At 40.4% G+C, this 24843-nt stretch overlaps 1 long non-coding RNA gene across 2 annotated transcripts; it reads right to left on the minus strand.

Moving 5' to 3' along the window:
- Window positions 1–20178: 20178 nt before the first annotated feature.
- On the minus strand, window positions 20179–23608 carry LOC107985843 (uncharacterized). 2 transcript variants are annotated; one of them, XR_001739263.1, is made up of 3 exons: window positions 23501–23608; window positions 22233–22616; window positions 20179–21285 (listed from the first exon to the last, which is right to left on the minus strand). It is a non-coding gene; the product is annotated as an uncharacterized LOC107985843 (long non-coding RNA). The 2 variants fall into 2 exon arrangements; XR_001739262.1 differs by lacking the exon at window positions 22233–22616.
- Window positions 23609–24843: the final 1235 nt, after the last annotated feature.

Consider the following 24843-nt stretch of genomic DNA (forward strand, 5'->3'; position numbering starts at 1 on the left):
TATGAAATTGCTGTTGATTTCTAATCCAAATGTTATAGTAAAATAACATAATTTATAATACTTCAGACTTTTGAAATTTCTTAAGACTGATTTCATGGCCCAACATATGATCTATTTTGGTAAATAATTAATGAGCACTTGAAAATAATGTATACTGCTATTTTTAAATGTAGTGTTCTATAATGTTAATTAGATCAATTTGGTTAATAGTTTTATTGAAATCTATATCTCTATTCACATTTGGTCTACTTGTCGTATACAATACTGAGAAAGATATTGTAAAACTTCTCCCTGTGATTGCGGGCTTGTGTATTTCTCCTTTAACTTCTATCAGTTTTTTTCTCATGTGTTTTCAAGGTCTTCTACTAAGTACATATACCTTTAGGATTGTTATGCCTTTCCAATAATTGATCTTTTTATTCATGACAGTGACTTTTAGTTGGAAGTGTAAAAAACATGTCTAGAGAATGAGCTAGTCTTGTATTACTGAAGATCCTTGACTTCCATAAGAAGCTCTAAACATTCTCATGAGAAGATCTGCTGATGAACGCCCACTTATTCTGCCACTCTGCTTGGATGAGCTAGACAGAAGTATGAGAAGAACGGCTGCCACTCCTTTAAAATAGAAACTTTCCATCAGAGCTCAGGAAGGCAAGACCAGAATACTGCTCATTGAAATGCTCGCCTCATTAATGAGGGGTCTTTTAAATTTACTTTTCCTCTTCTGAGAAATTCACTTTTCCTTACTTCTAAGAAAGTAGTCAGATTTTAGGTGAAACGGACCTTGAGACCTAATAGCTCTCAACCATAAAATCTGTGTAAAGGTGAGTGAATATAAAATAATTTTTTACTAATAACAAATTTTTCATACTCCAAATGAATATTTAAATATTTACAGCATAATTGAATATCCACATCACAACATTATCTTCAGTCCTTTGTATGTTATTTATTTTCTTCAACTGCAGTGAATGGAGTAGAATTATAGTGAGGTTGCTGGACATAGTTCAAGTCTCTTGGTTTAATTCAACCTTTCCAGAGCCTTTGATGGATCTGGAATTGTTGAGGAGGAGGGAAGGAAGTAAGAGAAATAGTCACATCAGTGAATGTGAAAAAATCTTTCAAGAAGTTGAGAAGAGAAAAGGTTTAAGAGCACCACATTTTAACTCCAGCTTTGTCACTAACTTAATCAACAGCAAATAACTTCTCTTTTGGCTTCGGTTTCTGTTCCCAAAATTAGGATGTATTAGTGATCAACTTTCAGATTTCATCTATCTCTGGCATTATGTCCACTCTATGATTCCTTCTTTTCTTGAAACAGTGTTATATATTTACTCAAATGTTGAGTATTTATTTTATTGGCCTGTTTTCTAGGTTTTTTTAAAAATTCAAATGTTCTTCATATAACTAGAGCTACCCAATTTTTTATTAAGTCCATGTATAGTTTTAATCATATCGTACATGTAACTTTACAATATGCTTTTGTCATTCAACATGTCATCAGGAAGTACTAATAAATCCCTTACAATCCTCACTTTAATAATTGTATAATATCCATCATATGTTGAAATTATAATTTATTCAAATGTTCTACTACTATAACATTGGGGTAATGTTCATTTTTTCACTATGATAAATAATAATGAAATGAACAGTTAGAAAGCTCTGTCTGCGTTTTAGCTCTCGCTGGCGGATTTTTCCGGAAGGAATGTTCAGAAGCACTTCCCTCTGGGCCTGGACAGCTTACCATATCCTGATGATCGGCACTCCACCTCTTTCCCGCTCAGGTTTGATGTATGAATGCTCCCATTCTGCATTGGCACCTGTTACGTGGGCACGAAGAGTCCGTACAGCCTGGATGTCCCTCCATCTCGGGTTCATGAGGAAGCCCTTCTTCTAACAGTTGACACTCCTATTGTCTTTTCCATGGCTGGGGCTTTTTCAAGAGTTGCCTCATGAAGGCACTAGTCCATTAAGCGAAACAGAAGACTGGACTCCCTACTGCTAAGGCTTTTGACCTTTTCAATGACCTCAATAGCTCTTCATTGGTCCTCTCAGAAGTTAGCACTGTGGAGATCCCTGATGCTATCAGACATTACCCCTGACAAAACGTTACAGTTTCGGCCGGGCGCAGTGGCTCACGCCTGTAATCTCAGCACTTTGGGAGGCTGAGGTATGCGGATCACGAGGTGAGGAGATCCAGACCATCCTGGCTAACATGGTGAAACCCCGTCTCTACTAAAAATACAAAAATATTAGCCGGGCGTGGTGGTGGGCGCCTGTAGTCCCAGCTACTCGGGAGGCTGAGGAAGGAGAATGGCGTCAACCTGGGAAGCAGAGCTTGCAGTGAGCCGAGATCACGCCACTGCACTCAAACCTGGGTGACAGAACAAGACTCCATCTCAAAAAAAAAAAAAAAAAAAAAAAAAAGTATGTTACAATTTCACCAGCTGCTAGAAGGGGTCTTGGCACTCTTCTTACCCTATAATCTTCTGTAAAGTCTATTGCTCTAAATGCTTGTCAAGCAGGCATTAAAACCAGAATTGTGTTGGTTTTAATCTGTGGGTCCAAAGAGACTTTTATGTTGTTAGTAGACCTCAGCTCTCTCCCATTAAAACCAAAAGGAGCTTATACAATTGCAGTCCTGGCCCTGCAGGGACTGAGTGATGATCACCCATCCTTAAATGTTGTTACTGGGTTCCGTGGCCCCAAGTTCAAATAAGCCTTGCATCTCTTTTCTAACTAAGAACATGGACTCAGGCATTCAGAGTAAGTGCCCCTGCAGCACTTTTTTTCTTTTTCTCGATTTAATTGATTATGAATCAAAACAAGATTAGCATTGATATTTATTGAATGAACTACCCTGGATTCACAACAAAACGAAACAAAACACATAAAGCAAAGATATGTTCTGGTATAAATATGAAACTATAAAAAACAGAAAAATTGGGTAAGCAGGTTTCCTAGAAATGTTTAGTGCAATGATTAAAAATGCAAACTTTTCAGTCAAACTTCCTGGTCATGTCTCAGCTCTGCCTTATTCAAACTGGGACTGTTGGCAACTTAATACCTCCTCTAAAGCCGCATTGTCCTCACTTGGCAGAGGTGGAGGTAGTTATAGTGTCACTTCATAAGGAGTTGTAGAAATTAAATTAAAAATGTCTAAAAATCTTTAGCAACCTATCTGGATCATAATAACCACTCAATAAATTCCAACAATTAATGTATTTTCTTCTCCAAATGTATCTAAATTCCCACCCTACCAGAACTGACTGATTTCATAGAGACAAATCTAGGTTGAGTCTCATAGTGTTTCAACTCCTCATTTGGTACATATTCAAACTGAAATGATTGAAGAAGAAAATTTTTAAAAAGCATTAATTTTATCTATGTGGGAAACCCTGTGGCAGCGACTTTCTCATTTAAAAGATTCTATCTTCACAATATGACTGTGAATATTGAAAAATGTGCTTGATCTATAAAGTCAGATTACAGCAGAACAAGAATTTGTTTCTTCAGACTTTGGAGTTCCACAGGCACTCAACGCCTGAACATTTGCAGGACCACTGCCAATACAGAGTGTCCCAAACTTCCTTAAAGATCATAAGGATTTCTTCAGTGTATCCTAACTAAAAGGCTGTCCAATCCCCTCTCAGAAGAGACAGAGAAACTCTAAAGAGGAAGATCAGGTCTTGAAGGGGAGAGAGTGAAGGCTTGGCTAGTTTGAGATGTTATCAAGGTATTTCAGGCTGATACATGAGAAGAAAGTTTTTAAAATTCATCTAAGAAATAAAGGAAGAATAGTAATTATAACAAATGGTTCTGTGAAACCTTAATATACACATGCAAAAGAATTAAAATGGACACCTAATTCACACATGTTATACCAGAAACAAATATTACTGCCAAGTTAAAAATAGACCTAAAGGTAAGAGCTAAAACAATATAACTTTTAGAAGAAATCATTGGAGTAAGTTTCTGTAAGCTTGGGCTAGGCAGTGGTTTCTTAGATATGACACCAAAAACAGAGGCAATAAAAGAAAAAATAGATGAGTTGGACTTTGTGAAAAATTGAAGACATTTATGTCTCAAAGGACAGCATCAAGAAGATAAAAAGACAACCTGCAAAATGGAAGACAATATTTACATATTATGTATCTGATAAGATACTTAAAAGGCAAAGGATCTAATAGATATTTTTTCCATAGAAGATATACAAATGACCAATAAGCATATAAGATTATGGTCAAAATCATTCATCATTCGGCAAATGCTAGTGAAAGCCACAATGAGTTACCACTCCACACTCACTAAGATGTCTATAATCACCCAGATAGACAATGATAGAGGATGGAAAAATCAAAACCTTCATTCACTGGTGGTAGGAATGTAAAATGATGCAATCACCTTGGAAAACATTTTTTCAGTTCTTTAAAATGTTAGAGTTACCATATGACCCAGCAATTCCACTCGTAGATATATACCCAAAAGAAATGAAAACATATAAACATATGTTTACCCAGAAACTTGTACATAAATGTTCATATGCTCATAACAGCATTATTCATAATAACCCTAAAGTGGAAACAACACATGTATTCATCAATTGATGAGTGGAAAACAAAATGTGGTACGTCATTGGACATGTATTATTCTTTCCTAAAAAAGAGTGAAGTACTGATACATACTACAATGTAGATGAACCTCGACAACATTATGTTAAGTGAAAGAAGCCAGGCATAAAAGTTCTGAACAAGCCCATCCATAGAGAAGGAAAGTAGATTAGTGATGGCCATGGACTGGAGGAGGGTGAATGCGGAATACTGCTGGTGGGCACAGAGTGTTTTGGGGAGCAATGAACATGTCTTAAAAATACATAGTGGTAATGGTTACACAACTCCATGAATATACTATTGTATCTCAATAAAGCCAGTAATAGAAATTCATCTATGAGACTGAGGTCAACACTGTAGAAGCCAAACCTTAAATCATGGATAAGAAGAGGTAAGAATGGCAAAGGAAACTAAAAAGTGATGGACTGGATATACCCTGACATCGCTGGGGAGATGAGCAGCCAGGACAGAAATAAGACATGAGGGGAGGGCCATGACGTGTGCCTGGAACACCACTGCACTGCCTGAGGCTCCAATCCTGTTGGGGCTGGCCCTGGTGTGCGTGGGTGCCTTAGTCTACATCAGTGGTTCTCAGAGCAAAATCCAGGAACCCCTGAGAATCTCCAAGACACTTTTAATTGGTCCATGAGGACAAAACTTTTTCCATGATAAAACTAAAGTGTTGCTATTCCCTTTTAGTCCAACTTTTTAATGTGTGCAGTGGACTTTTCCAGAAGCTCCCTGACATATGATGGCATTATTTTTCTGACAATAAATGGGATGTGTGCTTGTGTATTCTTCTGTTTTAAACATTTGTCAATTTGAATTTCTTATATAATAAATTTTGATAGGTATAAACTATGAAAACTGAAAATCTTTGGGATCCTCAATAATTTTTAAGAATATAATGGAGCCCTGAAATGAAAACGTTTGAGAATCACTAACCTATAATCAAAACCAAACCATAGGCTTGAGCTGGATACTGTATCCTTCAAGTGATGCCCTTGTGGGGATCTATGTGGGGACATCAATGGCCTGTGTATGACAGTGGATGACAGTGGGCTATCTAGATCCTTGGGGCTGGTGACACCTCTGAGTCTCCGAACAGTTCAATTTCACAAATATGGGATCCCTACCATTAATGAGGCTAACGGACAATTGAGATTAGATGCTGGAGATGCAGTGAGGAAGAGAACCAGGCATAGTCAACCTCTGCTTTTCTAGGGCTGACACTCATACCATAATCCTGTCTTTCTGGCTTCTCTATTCTTCTTCTCAGGGAAAGTCTGGAGTTCTACATGGCCATGGCTAGTTAACCTGTGCTCTTTCTCATAGCTAGCCTCTTAAAGAAGCCTTTAGGCATTAAAGGGCTAGGTGGCCCTCAGTGGTGCAGATGGAATGTCACGTGCTTATGGGCTTCTTGCAGTTAGCACACCTATCATACCCGTGAGTCCACCTCCCCATGACACTGAAACATCATCAGGGGCAGAAACTGCTTCCTGCTCAGAGCTGTGTTCCAGATGCCAAGGAGCTGGCCTGCTCCAGAGTGAATGCTCAAGAGAGGTTTTGATTGAATACACGAAGGAGTAAATTTCTCTCCCACAGAACACGATTATTCGGCTCTTAGACGTTATAAATGAGTGTGAAAAGGCTTTGATTTCTGCTGCCAACTGGCCAGAGACTGAATAATGAATCATCAGCAATCAATTCAGACTCACCCACCACAAAGATCAAACAAATCCCATGGCCAGAATGACAATAGATTGAGAGCTTGATGAAAGAATGGCACAACGCAAAGTTCCAATATTTCGCCAACATCACTGACTGGCTCACCACAGTCTTCTGCAGCCGCCGCCATGTGGCAGCCTCCTGTCAGCTGCGCAAAGGAAAGGACCAGGCTCCGCAACGCAGCGCCTGTGCTTTGGGATGAAAGCAGGGATTTTATGTGTGACTTACAATGAGTGTCAGAAAATTCTCTTTGGCCCTGGAAATACCACCTGGAAAATGAAGACAGTGTCCAAGGCTGCATCCAGAAAGGGAAGCCGGAAGCACTGGGCTTTTCTGCTACTTGGTGAGCTTGGTGCTGGATGGCCGGCAGCCCCATGCTGGAGGATGGTGAGGGATCTGCTTCTTGGAGGCAGGATTGGTTATGTTCCTGCCTAAGAAATCCCTGCATGATAAGTATTTCCACTAAGTTTTCTCATATTTCAAAAGATTCCCCAACAGAAAGGGGAGCAGAGGAAATTATGGCAAAGCCACTCCATAACAGTTTCAAATTTCCCACTTCTCTCTGTTCTTTGTAAACATGTCCTAACCAAAGCAGATGGAAAGGGGTAGGCTTAGAATTCTGGTGAAGAAATTAAACATAGATGGGTCCCAAATTTTCAGGGGGAAACCCATTCCCATCTTGTCATTGATTAGAGGACTTTGTAGGTGGCTATGCAGCAGGTTCAGCAGTAGCTGTGATTTCTTACTGGTATGAGTTAAGAACCACTGAAAATTGTTTTTCCTTCCCAAAGATTTCTCCCATTTCTTCCAGTAGCCTTCTCCCAGAGCTGAAATTCCAGGAATTTCTCATTCTTTCTGATTAAGACCTTGAAAGCTATGGTTATAAACTAATTCAAGTCAACAAGCACACTTAGCTCATGCCAGACTCAGACTAAATTAACCTCAAAGTAGATACAAAGTTGTGGGGGTAGGAATGAAGGACATTAATGTACATAACAAATTATAGTAAATGTAAAAGAATGCACACACAGAATGCATCTGGAGCACAGAGGTTTAAGTCGCTTTTTTTGCTAATAATTCCATAGTAGATATTATGCTAAGCTGCCTTTGGTATCACATAGTTTCTGCTCCTCAGAACAAACTTACAAGACAGGTCCACAGTACAGACCCCATCTTCGCGATGAGTCCCTGAAAGAGAATCCTCAGAAGGTTTAAGTGACCAGTTGTTTGTGCAGTAAGTGCCAGCGTGAGGCTTTGTAGTGCCCACTCAGGAAAATAAAAACTGGGCCATCCCCACATGGCCATGCTAGAAACCCTAAATCACACCATGAAGCAAGAACTACCTGGAAGGTCCTCGAAACATGTGATGATAATAGGCCCTCTATCCTGAATGTTCAACCAGGTGAGTAGTGGGCTGAGGCAGGGATGTGGGGAAGAGAAGGCAATACTGAGAATGGGCGAGGCACTGTTATCAGGACAGGAGTTGCCTGCAGGGGGTGCTGAGCGAGGCTGGTGTGTTTTTCATCCCTGGACAGGAATTCCGCCCTGTTTTGTTTTTTTTAATCATCTCTGGCCACCTGAGTGCCCTCCACGGAGCGTCTCCAGAATGAAGCCATGGCACCAGGCTTGGCCCATAGGGATGATGTTCTTAACCATGTTCTGCCCTGCCCCAGGGAGATCTTATCGCCAGCTCCTCCCCATGGAATCAGCTGTTATGATTTGGGACATGCTCACCAGATAGAAAATTTGTTTTGTTCTCTGTGCATTTGAGGATTTCAAATCTATGAAGGGTAGGAATGACAAAACAGTTCTTTGGACTGGTCGCTAACCTGCCAAACCATAATATAGCCTGTGGCAAAATATCTCATCATATCCCAATTTGAAGCGCATTTTAAAAAAATCAATCAATCTCAGGAACTCTTGTTTTGTTGTCATTTAAACAGAGATAAGACTGTGCTTACCTTTGCTGTTGTTGAATGAGAAAAGGGACAGAAAAGCAAGCAAGCAAAACAATGTGACTTACACTTGCAGGAGTGGAGACAGGTGTAAGGGTACAAACTCTGTTCATGGATGGAATCAGAAAAGCGTGTGTGGAAGAAGCATATTTCCTGAGGAACGCTGGCTGCACAGATAAGCACCAGACGGAGCTCCAGACAGAGGCACCGACAGGAACATGAGATAGCCTCGTGTGCTTGGAGAACCACAGATGAGTTCAAAGACAAGAGCACAAAGTGCAAAGGGAGGTGCTCAGGGGTTCTGCAGGACAGGGAGGCAGACGCCAAACTCCATGCTGTATGTTGTACTCATGCATTTCCATTTTGGATGCCACTGAAGAAATTCTGAACCCGAAAATGACAATATTATTTCATCTTAACACAACTTGCAATATGGCAGAATAGAAAATGGATTGGAATTATTCTGAGTGTTTGAGAAGCAGCTAGAAGGATGAAGGTTAAGTTCAGCTTGAAACAGGGTAATGAGAGTGTGGGTGAAAAGAAAGGGGCAGCTTCAGGAAATAGAGAAGGGCTGCTAGACTTAGTAAAGACATGCAGGATACCTGGTTAAACCTGAACTTCAGATAAACAACACAGAATTGTTTCAGGCATACGTATGTCCTATGCAATATTTGCAACACGAATTAGAGAGTCAGAGGTCAGAGAAAGAGAGGGGAAAGCTGATGCTGAAATCGATCTCCTTCCATTCCAGCCTAATGTTTTTTCCATGGCACTCTTTTATTTCACCCCAAACATAAGCTGATTTGCCCATCCTTGGTTCTGATTAAATTCATGCTGTAGATGAGAAGAAGCAAGCTGTGTGTTCTGCATGCCAGGTGACAGTCATCATTGCCTCCAAATAACACTTCCTGGGCACCCGCACCCTGTGGCTCTGCCCTGGATGCTGTGCAAAGTCAGGGGCCCCCACATGGCCCACCCTCCAGGAGCTTACACTCAGAATCAGCCAGACAGCTGCCACAGGACCGCAGGCACAGCGCAGAGCAGCAGGCACACATGGGCAGTGGCCGTTGAGGAGAAGCTAAGGGAGGAAGACAGCCTGCATCCCATACAGCCACCAAAGGTGCCGTGCCAGCCACTGCAGAAAACATGGGCACACCCACACCAGCAGCTGTTCCCAGCCTTCAGCTGACGCTAGGGCAGGGAGGCCTTGCTCTTTATCTGTGGGAAATTCTCAGACTGCCTGGGCCAAAGCAGAGGGTTCCACTTGGGGCTATTCCTGACGACCACCCAGAAGTGTGCACAGAAAGCAGCACATCTGGCAGGATCTGGGAGCACATTTGCCAAGAACAGGCTGAGCACGGGAGGTGAGGCAGAGAGAGTGAGGGCCAAAAGCTGTTCCCTTAGATGTGCATGGGACTCTCTTTTGCTAAAATCACCCATCCTGTGACCATTTTGCAATGGCATCATCAAAAGCAGGAACATATTTTTATTGCCATTAGTAGTAACAAAGTATGATGAGAGTTCATCCTGGGAATATTTCATCCCAGCATGTGCTACAGGCAGGCTTCTAGCTGTGAGCTCAGGCCAGATGGAGTTTGGTGCTGGTTCTGTCACCAACTGCTTATGTGACCTTGGACTAGTCCCTCAATCTCCCTGAACTTCAGTTTCCTCCAACATAAAGTGTGGGACATTGTCTTATGTCAGTGGATTTTCATACTGGGTTCCATGGGGCCAGAGGTCTCCTCTAAGAGGAGAGCAGCAGGTGAGGCTGGAATCTCCCATCGCGCCCCTCCTGACAGAGGAGTAACACTTAGCAATTGCACAAGGAGGGGTTCCTTGTAGAGTTTTTGTGTGTGGGGGGGGAAGAGTTGTATTGCCAAGAAACATATGGAAATGCTAGTCTAAGACATGCATATCCTTCCAACTTTCTATGATTCTGAGATTGAATTTATTATCCATCCTGCTTTTCATCCTGTCTACCACAGCTTTCACATCTTTCAATTAGACATTAAGGAATGAAATAGGGACAAAGAGGTTTTGGGGGGCTTACAACATTGAGGGCCACAAATTGCATGCCATTGTCATGTGTGGGGGGTTGGTGGAAATAAGATTTTGAGGCACTTTTAAGCTATGTGGTGGATTTTAGGCACTGAAGTTTGAGTATGAGCATCAGGGGGTCCGGCCAGAGGAGAAAGATGTTTTGCTGGAATCACCCTGAGAGGCAGCCCTGGAGGAGTGAGGCTTGGCTAGGAAGAGAGGAGAGGGACGTTTCATGAAAATAGAAAGTGGTGTTCAGAGCAGAATGATCTGTGAATTTAGACCAGAAGCTGAAAGGCAAATTAGCCACCAACAGCACAGCCAATGGAAGCAACAGCCCATGTTTGCTTGCAAGGTGCAGGTAAGAAAACGTTTCCACATCCAGGAGTTCATGGCCTTACAAAGAGGCCAAAGAGAAGAAATGTGGGCACCAATGCTCTCACGATTTACAGTACTTTATGGGCTTATTGTTGAGTTGTTTCAAAGCTCTCTGACTCTGTCCTCTACCATGCAGAAGACACACTGTGATGTCTGTCAGCACTGTAGTCTCAGGCTGCTGGCGTTAGCATCCGTAAGGGTCGTTTTGAGATGTGGTCTGTCCTTTGCTAACATTGTCCCTATGGACACAATAGACCTAGTTTCTCTTCTTAGCAACTTCCTCATACTATAGGGAAATTGGGTAATGACACAGGCATGATTACTATGATTATTATTTTTTAGTTGGGAGGAAATAATGGATACAAATGTGCTTTGTAAAATGATGAGAACTAAATGATTCGTATATCAACATACGTTGGCTAAAACTTAAATTCTGCAGTGGTTTAATTCTACAAGTGTCAGGTCCTGTGGCCTGTGGAAAAGCTAAACACTCAGGAATCGCTCTTCTCTACTCTTTTTTTTAAAATAACTGGCTCAGGAGGAACTAAACTATTTGTCACATTCAAGAAGGAGTTTGGCTTGGGGGCTTAAGGCTTGCTCTGTTTCAGGCAGTCAATGAAAGAGTTTGCTGAAGATTTTACATGAAATGATTCTGTGTGCTTTCAAGCCAAAATGTTTCTATTTTTATAATATTTTAACTAATGAATTTAAAATGAATGACACAAGCTTAGGGACTAATAAAGATCAACCGCAGAAGAGGAATGAAAAAAAAAATCAGCTCAAAACTTACATTCTGCTGGAATTCATTTAAGCATAGAATGAAAAATGTCCAGGGGCAAACCACCAAGTAAAACAAACAAAGATTCTCCTGCACATTAAAAGACAACTAAAGGCAAAACTATTCTGTTACAAAAAGAAAGTTTTTTGGGTGGGATAAGCATTCAAAGCATCTGTTTCATTAGGAGCAAAATCATTTCAAAATACTATCAATCCCCCACCCCCGCAAACTAATAAAACAAAGCCATTGAGCGTTGGGCATCTGTTGTACTGGGTCTTCTGGACGGCAGAACTGGAAAGACATCACTGTGCAGAACATTCTTATCCTGGCTGATGTTGTTTTCTTGTTGGCCTGGCTCTGCCTCCCTGCTCAGAATTGTAGCTAGGATGAACCGAATGCATTTTCAAGAATGAAGGAACGAGCAAAGAGCAACGAAGCATGGCTCTTCCCGTTAGTAATCCTTAGTGTTGCTCCTGGAGAGGAGAAATGTCTTCTGAACTCCTGGACGATTTGTTTCTGCTTTTAAAACCTGAGACCGAATCACTGTCATTGCAACAGCAGGACTACCAATGCTCTTGGTCACAGGGTTTCCGACTGTTGAAAGAAAAACAGGACGTGTCTCCTCAAGGCACTACTCCACATTTTCCAAATTTTATTTGTTTACACATCCAGATGTGTGGGGTGACAGGTGAGGTGGGTGAGTGGATACATCCTTGAAAGTGGCCACTCTACTTCAGCCGCATGCCTTAGGACACCTGTGTGGACATGTTGGGTGTGCATGCTCCATGGAGCAACTGGGTCCCTCTAGGATTCTCATTTTGTCTTTTCCTTAGGGAGACTTACCAAGCTCAACTTCAGCTCATACACAGACACAGTCAGGCCAGCTACAAGTTTCCATCCTCTGCAACATTTTGAAGTCAGCAATCTGAATATACGTTATTTCATCACACATATACACACATACACACACACACATACACACATGAATTTGCATCTCAGAATGTAAACACAGTCTGAAGAAATGAAGAAATTACATTGCCCTCACCCTTAAAAACCCTGAGGGAAAGTTTATGACCACAGATAATGTCAACACCAGGTAGATAATAAGGAAATACTAAGAGAATATGTTTTCCTGCTAGGATTGCTCTTATTGCCTGAGAGAAATATTTGTCACAAAATAATGGGTGAGATCACCTTTTAACAATCTCAGCCTCAAACCATTATGTGTTGGGCTCTTAATCACCGTACTCAAAAATATGTTTGTTCAGAGATGAAAAAGACGAAGCACATAGACATTGTCTAATGGATTAGTCTATATTGTCATGGATTTGGATTACACAATCACAAGTAATTGCTTTTTAACTATTCACATTTCACATTGAAATTCTTTTGCCCACAGATCATTGCATAAACTCATCACAATCCCATCATACCTCCACTGCAAATATCGAGTTTATTCTGTCTAGAACAAGAGCTCTCACGCTCATTTGATTAGTAGTGCACTTGAAAAGTCATAGTACTCTTTATAGTACACCATGGAGTGTTCATTCATATTTAATCCTATTATATGGACGTGAAGAATGCTGCTACAGAAATAGGCCTGTCTTCCATGCATGCCACATAATATTTCAGTCACGAGAATTCTCAGCCAAAAATAACAGCTAAACCAAGTGTAATCATCCAGTTTTGAGTATTTCAATTAATATTTGTAGATTCCTTAAAAATGGTGTTATACACCAGGACTTACTACAACAATACCTTCAAAATGGAGTGAACCTTAAAATAGAGAAAAAGCTCTTAACCAAATAATCAATGCACAAAAATAAGTGTGTGTGTGTGTGTGTGTGTGTGTGCGCATGCACACATATGCACATGCTAAGAGAGAGCGGGAAATAGAGTTAGGAAAATTTACTTGTAAACTGAGAAAATATAATTTCTTGTACACATGTAGGTTCAGCTGGTAGAATATGAGTGTTCCACAAAATAATATTTAGAGAAACATTTCTTTAAAGGGAAAAAACTTTCCATGATTATAGTTTTCAAAGTTGTAAGTGATAGGATAATTTCTTAATATAGGAACAGGGTACACTTTTGAACAAATGATTTTGTGTGTAGCCACTCTAGGAATGGCACGAAGTCTCTTTCATGGAACATGTACACTCTCCACCCAAAAGATGACCATGTAAGCTGGGCCCTGAAGTTTTAATGTGACTGGGGAGAACAGATACTTACAGGAGAGGTAGTTTTATAATGATGCCTGAATTCCCTGTGGAAATGCAGTCCTGAAGAGAGATGACTAAAGCATAAATGTTTTAGATGTAAAGTGGGGAGTGATGAGGGAAACTGTAGATCTAATGTATTATCAAGAGACTCCCCTCAACCAAGCTCTGAAAGAGAAGCCATTGATTAAACCTTAAAGGATTGGTGGATTTTTGTGGGGGCAGAGGAGAGGCAGTGGAGATGGAGAAGACAAGAGCATTGGGCAAAGGCTAAAATCAAAGTTGGACATAGTTTGTTTCTGATTCAGTGAGTGATCCTTCCTTACAGCCCTTTCTGTCCATGGGTCACAGCCATGTCTGTAAGAGGAAACCTGCTCTCATGGTATGACTTCATGTGCAAATGAACCTGGAAGAAGTGTTCACCAATAAGGACTGTACGATTCTTAATTCAGTATCATGTAAACTCAGAATAACGTGTCCTCAGACATTAATGCCATAATCAACAATTTTCACAGCCTTTTGGGGTGTGTGTCAATTAGGATTGGGGTTTGGGGGAGAGGCAGTGATAGAAAATCTAATCAGTGGCTGCTTAGGCAAAACAGATGATGTATTTTGGGGTAAGGTTTAATCCAGAGGCTAAACAGATCGTCAGTGTCCAGTCTGCTTCGTCTCTCAGCTTTCTCTTCTGTTGATTTTACCCTCAGTTTCTATGCAAAGGCAGGACAGTCAGCCTGCCTAACTGTTCTGGGATATGGGAAGAATAGATAGAGAAGACATGTCTTTGCAGTAGCTCTCAAGCAAGTCTTGGAATTCACTGGGTTTGAATGTTCTTAAATCACATGCTGATTCCTGAATAGACATTGTTGTCCATGAGAGAATTTCTACCCTGATTGGTCAGGTCTGGGGCACATCTGGGGACTCATGTGAGCTACTGTCTGAGAATGAGAGAGTGGTGATCCCCCCCCAAAAGAAATCCAGGGTTCTGTAGCCAGAAAAAAAAAGAGTGTGAATGCTGGGTAGGAGAAAAACAAAGTTCCACACACATGTTGCTTCCTTTCAGATCCTGTCTCCTCACTGGATCCCAGCCTCCTCCCACTTCTTCACGCCCGTGCTCATGGCCCTAGTGATTAGCCCTGTCTTGGTTTGGCTTCTCAGCAAAAGGCTGTCTTTGTCAGCTCAACTCCGTGTTCTGTGGCTGCAATTGCTCCTGTAAAATCCAGTGGTGCGGTGCTTGATCACCGTGTGGCTCCTGGTAAACTTGGGTTTCATCACTCCACATCACTGGAGACCAGGTGTGGGGCTGTGACCTTCCTCACTGAGGCTGTGGAGGCCTGTGCTACATTGGGTAAAAGTGACATTCTAGGGTGATGCTGGTGGCAGAAGTGTGAAGATGAGTTGGGACAGAGAGAGCCACAGTCAATGGAAACCAGCTGGATTTGAGGATGAGTGGATCTGCCCCTTACTAAATGGAAAGGCCTGAAACAAAGAGCCATAAAAGCCAAATTTATTCTAAAAGAAAGACGAAAAATGTGGAAAAGGAGTATCAGAGGAAAAATCTGTTTGGGAAGAAGTAAATAAATTTGATATTTATTGGACATGTTGAGTTTATAGGGATAATGGGCTGTCTCACCAGATATCTCTAAAAGGCATAGAGGCATCTGTAATTTATTGAACATAGATTCTGTGCCAAGAATTTTACAAGACTTATTGCTAAGCCTCACAATAATCCTGTTAAGTGGATGGTTTTTGCTTTCATTTTATATAAAAATGGAAACAGAAAGATAAGTTGTCTTGATCATCTTGCTAGGGGCAGAGTTGGAATTTGAGCAAAAGGTCTGTCTCACTTCAAAGTCTAAATTAGACCCAAGTGATCAAATTGCATGGAAGTTGCAAGAGACTAAAATCTACCCAGATCAAACCAAATAAGCTCTAAGTCCAAATCCCTTTCAGCTGCTATTCACTGTTTCTGGTAGTTACTGACTAGGTCTGTGCTGATTGCTTGATTCATGCCTTAGCAAGATGAACTTGGATGGTGCATGTGAGCTGCTGGAGAGGTGCAGGAAGCCAGGGCATTGCCTGCCACTGGGAACCTGGTTGGAGAATTGAGGGCCACTTGACCTCTGTCTGCATCAAGGTCATTCATCCATGCCCCTGTGTCCCCAGTATCACTCCCAGTTCCTAATATGGAGGCTAACAGGACAGCATTGACTGAATTGTAGCCCAGTCTCTGCCCAAATTAAATTCATCAGGACCTCCTGTCTTTGTGGACCTATGAGATATGTTTTGGTCAGTTCTGAGACAGCATCAAATATTCTTCAAAAATCATTGCCTCAAACAAGAGTCAAAGGCGGGAGCTTTATACAGTTGCTCAAGGCAAGACATAGCTGTTGTTACGAAGAAACTTAAAAAACCAAAAGCAAGATAGCCTTATAATTTCATTACTGTTCAGAATAAGCAAGTGTTCTCCAACAACTTCAAAGTTCAGATAGATGGGTAGAACCCAGGGTTCTTTCTCAGAGAGTTCTAGAATAGAATTCAGAGATAAGGTTAAATTCTGTAAAAACTTGGCCCCAAACAGATAAAATAGATTTCAAGAAAATGTTCCTTTACATGTATATAACATCTCTAATCAACACAGAACTGTAGTTATTTCACTATTTACTAAAATTTGAGAAATATCACCATTTCACAATTTTATTAGTAAATGGAGACTCAGAGATGTCAAAGATTTGCCTAAGGCCACAAAAAGTTGCAGATTGAACTCAAAGCCAGTGTAGGTGCCCCTGTATCAGCAACCCCTGAATACTCCATCAAGAGCCAGCCAACTTCTAATTACTAGAGCCTGCATTTTCTGTCTGCTAGATTTCTCTGTCCACCAAAGCTCACTCAGTCTGCCCATGAGCCCGCCGGAAGTAACAGGCTTCTTATCTCCTGGACAGGTCCATGTTCACCTAAAGGCTGGCTTGTATATACCCCAGTTCCCTTCCCCTCCACTACCTAATGCTAAGACTTCTACATCAGTGCTCAGATTTCCCCAGCAGGGTCAAGCTGAGTTAACCACACTCATAACTTGTTTGATAACAAATCTTTTACTGGCTGTCTTCCCATCCCTGTCTCATTCCTAGAATCACTTCCTAAATAAACTTTTCACTCATATCTTTGTTTCAGGGTTCGCTCCTACAGGAGCCTAAATGAACAGAGCCCAGTATGTCTGATTCAAAAGCCCAGACAAACTCATTTTCCTACATGCTGTTGAAGGAGGAAAGGCTGCATGTGCTGCTCGTTACCCTAAATAAGGAGAGAGAGGTGGGAAACTTGGGTGGGAAGCCCAAGTAGACGCATTAAGTCTGAGAACATAGAATATGGTTTCACGGCCAAGAACAGGCAATCAAGAGGGACATGTGCATTGGACAACACTTTATTGTGAGGATTTCCGGGCACTATCCAATACTTTCAACCAAGACACCAACTGATTCTAGGATTCTGCGCCTCTCCAGTCGGTAGCTGAGAGATGACAGAGCCCCATACAGGTGAACAGCATGAACGTATAAAGAATCCTTGAAAGATGGAGGATGGAACTGCAGGGAGCCCCTTCAGGGACCCTCATGTAGGGCTTAGAGGGGACCATATGAATTGCTGCTTTTGTTGGTGAAACAAGGCGGAATGCCAGCAGTTTTATATGATCAAACATAGACTGGAATTCAAAACATCTCATTTCTAATCTTTCTAGGACTTTTCAAATTCGTTCCTTTTCAAAGCAGTTTTCCATCATAGAAAATGCTTTGAAAGGACTTGTGTTGAAATCTCGACTGGCTGTATGGTGTTGAACGTGCCACTTAACCTCTCTGAGTCTGTTAACCTTCTCTATAAAAATGGGTGTATCAAGGCCCATCTTAAGGGGTTGTGGAAATAATTAATGGGATAATCAAAGTGAAACTCTAGATCCCAGCCCTCAACACAGAATGAGTGCTCAATAACCATGACCCATCCTGCTATGGAGGTGCCTTCCAACCCTAACCTTCATCTGTAAGAAAGCGGCAACCAAGATACAGGGGAATTGGAACACCATAAAGAATAATTAACAGTGATAAAGGTTTGCTGTTGATTTGTGATTTTTATATATTAAACTGTTTACCTTAAGGTAAAAGTAAATTATTTGATAGAATTTGGAAACTCACTAGGAGAATTTTTGTTCTAACATAAGGGAGAAAAAAATCCCTGAATGGCTTAAGCTTAAGTTTAAAACTGCAATTGTAAGATTTCTGGCATAAATAGTCAAGGAAGTTATTTGGAGTGAGGCAGGAGTTTCATTTCATCACTCTTAAATTCAAAATGCCAAAGTAGACTAAATATTTGTAATAGAAAGTTGTAGGAATTTCAGAATTCCTTTCAACTAGACTTGTGCACAAAATTTAGATCAGAGATTCTACCAAGTCAGATAAAATTTATGGAAGATGGGTTTTAAATTCAGAGTCCTATTTTTGACACCTCTTTACACAGTCATGTGTCACTTAACAACTGAGATGTATTCTGAGAAATGTATCCTTAGGCTATTTCATCATCGTGAGGACATTATAGGGTGTACCTACGCACAACAAGATAGTAGCGCCTACTACACACCTGGACTGTATGGTGTGGCCTATTGCTCCTAGGCTATAAACAGGCAGGTTAGTGTACTGAATACTATAGGCAATGGTGAGTACTTGTGTATTTAAACCCATCAAAACATAGAAAAGGTACAATGCAGCTGGGCATGGTGGTTGACTTCTATAATCCCAGCACTTTGGGAGGCCAAGGTGGGCGGATCACTTGTCGTCAGGAGTTCAAGACCAGCCTGGCCAACGTGGCGAAACCGCGTCTCTACTAAAAATACAAAAATTAGTCGGTTGTGGTGGCAGACACCTGTAACCCCAGCTACTCATGAGGCTGAGGCAGAAGAATCGCTTGAACCCAGGAGGTGGAGGTTGCAGTGAGCCTAGATCATGCCATTGCATTCCAGCCTGGGCAAAAGAGTGAAACTCCGTCTCGAAAAAAAAAAAAAAGAAAAGAAAGAAAGAAGGAGAGAAAGAAAGAAAGAAAGAAAGAAAGAAAGAAAGGAAGGAAGGAAGGAAGGAAGGAAGGAAGGAAGGAAGGAAAGAAAGAAAGAAAGAAAGAAAGAAAGAAAGAAAGAAAGAAAGAAAGAAAGAAAGAGAAAGAAAGATAATACAGTGCAATATGGTATAAAAGGTAAAAAATGCTGCACCTGTATAGGACACTTGCCGTGAATGGAGCTTCCAGGACTGCAGGTTGTCCTAGGTGCATCAGTGAGTGAGTGGTAAGTAAATGTGAAGGCCTAGGACATTACTGTACACTACAGTACACTTTATAAACACTCCGTCTACATCTAGGCTACACTACATTTTAAAAAAGACTATTCCTTCAATAGTACATTAACTTTAGCTTACTGTAACTTTCTTACTTTATAAACTGTCATTTTTAACTTTATAACTTTCTAATACCTAGCTTAAAACACACATTGTACAACTACACAAAAGTATTCTTTCTTTGTATTCTTATTCTGTAAACTGTTTTCTAATTTAAAATTCATTCATTTTTTTAAACTTTTTGGTTAAAAACCAAGACCTAAATACATACATTAGCCTATGCTTACACAGGGTCAGGATCATAAATATAATTGTCTTCCACCTCCACATCTTGTCCCACTGGAAGGTCTTCGGCGGAATAACACCCATGGCGCTGTGACCTTCTCTGATAACAATGCCTTCCTCTTGATTGCCTCCTGAAGATCATGCCTGGGGCTATTTTATAGTTAACTTTTTTAAAAGTAAGAATATATGCTAAAATAACAATTAAATGTACAGTCTAGTAAATACATAAACCAGTCACATAGTCCTTTATTTTTATTATCAAACATTATGTACTATACATAATTGTATGTGCTAGACTTTTATACGATTGGCAACACAGTAGGTTTGTTTACACCACCATCACCACAAACCCATGAGGAATGTGTTGCTCTATGATGTTATGATGGCTGTGCTCTGACTATGCCATAGGAATTTTTCAGCTGCATTATAATCTTATGGTACCACCATCATATGTGTGGTCCATCATTAACCAAAATATCATTATATGATGCATGACTGTACATGATTTTGGACAAAGCAATGCACTTTCCTGATTCTCAATTTTGAATCTATAACAGAAATATACCTACATCATACAATTATTGGGAGGTTAAATAATAAGAATGTCTGAAAATATCATTATTTTAGAAACTGGAGAGTATTCATTATTTGATGAACTGATCATTTGTACAGCTAAAAGATGATGACTGTCTCCTACCTACTCCATTATATGCAGCTGCGGCGGTTGCTCTTTGGATGAAGAGAAATGTAACGTGACATTGCCCAGAGGAATAAGCACACATCAGTTGCATGAGCAGGGGAAACATGATAAAATCAAAAAGCCATGTTTAATATTTAATTTATTATCTTTAAAGTAAGTCACATTATTTTATATTTGCAAAAACATCGAGCATTTTGAGCTTTAATGTGGTAGATTACATTTACTTTTTACATATCTGGGTACTAGACATCACAATTTTTCTTTCACAGATAAGACAAATAAGAAGCTTGGAAATGAACTGACTTCACTCATCCATTATTAAAGAAATAGTTCTCAAGTATTTAATGTAGTTTGGACATAACATGCCCAAATTGAATTAACGATCTTCCTCCCAAATCTGTACCTTTTCCAAAGGCCACCATCTTTCTCTGAAAAAGACAATTCTAGGTATACAGTGGACTAACTGTAGTATCACACTGAAAATTTCCCTTTCTTTTTCTGCATACATTACACCAATTTGCATGCCTCATGACTGTCTATAAAATGCATAACAAAGTTGTCCTCTTTTCTTTATCTCCACTAGTGCCAACTAGGCTGAGTCTCTGTTATTTTTACCAACTGAACCACTGAATTAGCATTTGATTTGTTTTCTTATGTCTCAGACTGGGTTTCCTGAAGAAAGTGTATTGGGCAAACAGTTGGCTTCAGGTAGCTTATTTGGGAGTTGATCCCAGGAAGCTAAAGTAAGGAAACATACAGAGAAAAATGGGGAAAGAAAGAAAAACAGTGAAGGATGCATCATTGAGCTAGTTATAGCTGGAGCCAACTGCAGGTCCATGCCTTGGTGATGTGCTGAAGAACCAGAGAAGATGAATCTCAAAAATTTCTTCACAAGTCTGGGGGCTGCAGCATTTATCTGCTGATTTCAGAATCCCATAGTGGAGGGTTTCCCCTAGGATTAATAACAACCCTACTACCTACCTCCTTCATCTTCACATTTCTAGGCTGCATCTGGGCTAGAACTCTCAAGGATTTGTATTAAGCCCCAAGGAATTCCTGTGAAAGATACGTGTAACCCTCTGTCTTAGTCCAGTTGTGTTGCTATAACAGAATACTTGAGACGGGGTAATTTATAAACAATAGAAATTTGTTTGGCTCATGGTTCTGGAGGTTGGGAAGTCCAAGATCATTGCACCAGCATCTGAGGGGGGCCTTCATGCTGCATCATCCTGTGGCGGATTGTGGGAAGGCAAAAGAGCAAGAGAACAAAAGAGTGTAAGAAAGTAGTAAGTTTACTTTTATAACAAGCCCACTATTGTGATAACTTAACCCACTCCCACAATAACCATGTAAATTCATTCATTAGGTCAGGGCTTTCTTATTAGGCCACACCTCCCAACACTGTTGCATTGGGAATTAAGTTTCCAACAAATTAACTTTTCAATTTGTAAATTAACAAATTAACTTTTGTGAACACATTCAAACCAAAGCACCCTTGAAGTGTGAAGCCATCAGTCTCCTAAACATGTGGTTCAGGAGTCATTTTTCCACACCATGATGGGATCTAGCACAAGACTACTGCCATTATCACAAGTTTTAAGGAGGTAAAAACCATTTTCTATGATAGAACACTTAAAAAGCAACTGATACTTAATGGGAGTGAATTTGAATTTATTTACTGTTGATGGCACTTAGGAGAACTGTGACCTTGTTCCAAATAATACCAGGGAGAATAAATAAAATTTTACTAAGCTGGACTGTGTCAGAAACATTTGAAATGAATTCTTCAATGTCTAATACACTAATAGCTAACCACATGTGGCTATTTAAGTTTAAATTAATTATAATTAAATACAATTAACATTAAAATAGCCACATGTGGCTAATGCCACCATCCTGGACAGACAGCGCAGATATAGAGCATTTCCATCCTTGTTTCCTTGTCTATTGGTTAGTGCTGGTATACATTATCTACAGTTGACTGCAAAAGCAATCTGGAATTCTTGACATCCTTGTTCAGGCCCCTTTAAAAATGCAATTTTGCAGAACTCCATCAAAAGTTGATGCCTGTTTCTCTACCCCTTAAATCTGAGCTTGCCATGTGACTTGCTTCAACCCATAGGAATATGGTGAAATTCATAAAAGCACTGACAAACATCTGTGCATGGCCACTCACTCTTGCTGCTCTTGGTTCCCACACTTCCTGCCATGTCTCTTTCAGGTTCTAGGCATCCAAGCTGTTCCCTCATCTCTTCAAGGCTCCTATGGCTGTGCTAGCACCTCTCTCTGCCTGAAAAGTACTTTTCCTCCACGCAACCATCTGATATCTTCTCAGATAGGAGGACTCAGCTCAAGTGTCTCTCTCCGTACAGCATCCCTGGGCTGCTTTTATGTCTTCTTCTCACCCCTAGCATTTTGCACAGGCTTTCAGATGGGAAGTGAGCAGATTATAATGTAACTCCTTCTCTCAGCTCTTCCATCCTTCTAGATTGAGCATCTCAGTGGGAAAACTTGATCTTATCCGTGTCTGTATTCCTTGCCTCTTTCATGATTCTTGGCACTGTGAATAAGTACCCCATAAATCCACAATAGACAATTGAAAATGCTTTACAAATTCATTCTGCACTTCATTTAACTTCTTGTACATTTCTTAAATGGATGCAATCCATACAGTAACAAACATCTGCTACCCAATTCCCCTCTCCAATTTGTAAATATTGCTCTGTGCTCCAAAATCTATCGAAAGTACCATGGATTTTTTACCTATTATATTATCCAGTCTTCCTGATTCTGACATTCCAATAATTTCAGTTCACAAAGTTTAAAAACTGTGGCCTAGTGGGCATAGCCTCCCAAACTCTCTTACTGGATTCCTGCTTGCTCTACGTCCTTCCCTACCCCCAGCATCATCCTTCAGAATCATAACTTAAGATCCCTCCACAGAATATCCCCACATGGAAAAGATTCCTAGGAGTAAACACATGAACTTTGGAATAGCCTGTCCTCTAACTCAAGTGCCCAGATTCACTTTGGAAGATGTTGAAAGAACATGGTTCTAGAAGTTGGGAAGTCAAAGAACATTGCATCAGCATCTGGAGGGGACCTTAATGCTGCAACATGCTGTGGTGGAAGATGGAAGAGCAAGAGAGCAAGGGGACAAGAGAGTAAGAAGTTACTATATTCAACTAGAGAAGCTTGCGTTTAGCCCTGGATTATCTACTGTATGTACTCTAATGTTTTATCCTTCCTTGAGGAAGGAGCTTAACCTCTCTGTGTCTTGGTTTACCCATTTCCTATTGGCAGCCTTTCAGAGTTATGTTGACAATCACAGACTGTGCATGCATATGTTCAGCAGTGTCTACTCCAGTGCCTGGCACTTTGGAGGGGCTTACAAAGGGCTTGCATGTAGCTACTAAAGAATATCTAGAATCCAAAATCTATTACCTGTTAGGATACTTCCTAGGCATGTGACTCCTCCTGTCAGAAGCCTCCCAGGGCCCAGAGAAGTATGTCTTCATGCCTTCAGAATCTTCTGACCATATAGTAGATAATGGATCTGGATAATACAGTAGATAAAAAATCCATGGTACTTTAGATAGATTTTGGAGCACAGAGCAATATTTACAAATTGGAGAGGGAAACTGAGTTTGGAAAATCCCTGTGATCTAAACCAACAGAGAATGGGAAGCCTTTAATTGTTGCATGACAAGTGTTTTCCACAATTTTTTCTGGACATTACAGCTGAGATCATGCCAAATAGCACCCACAAGGGGATGGTCTAGCCCTAATATAAGAGATGTTTGAGGGAAACTAGAGAGAAAATCTAAGAGACAATGAAAATGGCAAATCTACCAATTCCAGCCAATAATCTAGATATAGAAACCTTCCAATCAAATTTTATTGCTTCAAAAGAAGCCATTTGTGACATTTAGACAATATCATTTAGAAATCTGATAGGAGACAGGTGTAGAGAAAATTAAAATCTTGTTCTGTGGACTTACACAAATAATAATAATAATAATAATAATAATAATAATAGCAAACTAATAATCCCAAAGCAGTTACACAGATAGAAGAGAATGACAGAATTTAACTGGTCCGCCCAGAAAGCAAAGGAAATATTTGGAAGTCATCGACCTCTTGGCTTCAGGGATGATTTTTATACTCCACAGCATATGTGGCACCATCTGAATGATGCCTGGAAACATCTGTCCCCATCTCCCACTCAGGACATTGTCTCCACCAGCCTGCTTGGTGATGGACCTCAATCATCCCATAGAAACAAACGTTTTCTGGATACATTCTCTCTAGGTCAGCCTGACTTTTAGAAATGATTTTTTTCCCTTCCAGATCCTTGTTAAAATACAGTGAATGATTATTAGCACTGATGAATACTTTTAATGTATTACAATTATTAAATGTCCTTATTTACTGATATTTAAGGGTGTTTGCAAATATGCAATCTGTCTGGCAGTTGTGACATATTGTACTGAGAGTGCAAAAATCAAGAAGCCTGAATCTACCATGGGCTCTGCCAGTACTGAGCTGTGTGGTCAAACCACATCTTCTTTCTTGATTTCAATTCCCAGTGGTAAAATGAAGGGCTCTGATTAGGTAATATTTCATATCTTCTTCTGCGCTGACATTCCCTGACTCTACAGGTTCCTGGTGATATCTCAAGAAAAGAAAAGACAGCCCTGGTTAGTGTGAATTTTGAAGAGACAAGAGAAAGGAAATAAAAAGAATGAAAGTATGAGGCCTGCAACTGGGGAGAGGAGTGGCAGCAG

The sequence above is a fragment of the Homo sapiens genome, chromosome 2 (assembly GCF_000001405.40).
Source record: "Homo sapiens chromosome 2, GRCh38.p14 Primary Assembly".
NCBI classification, from domain to species: Eukaryota; Metazoa; Chordata; class Mammalia; order Primates; family Hominidae; genus Homo; species Homo sapiens.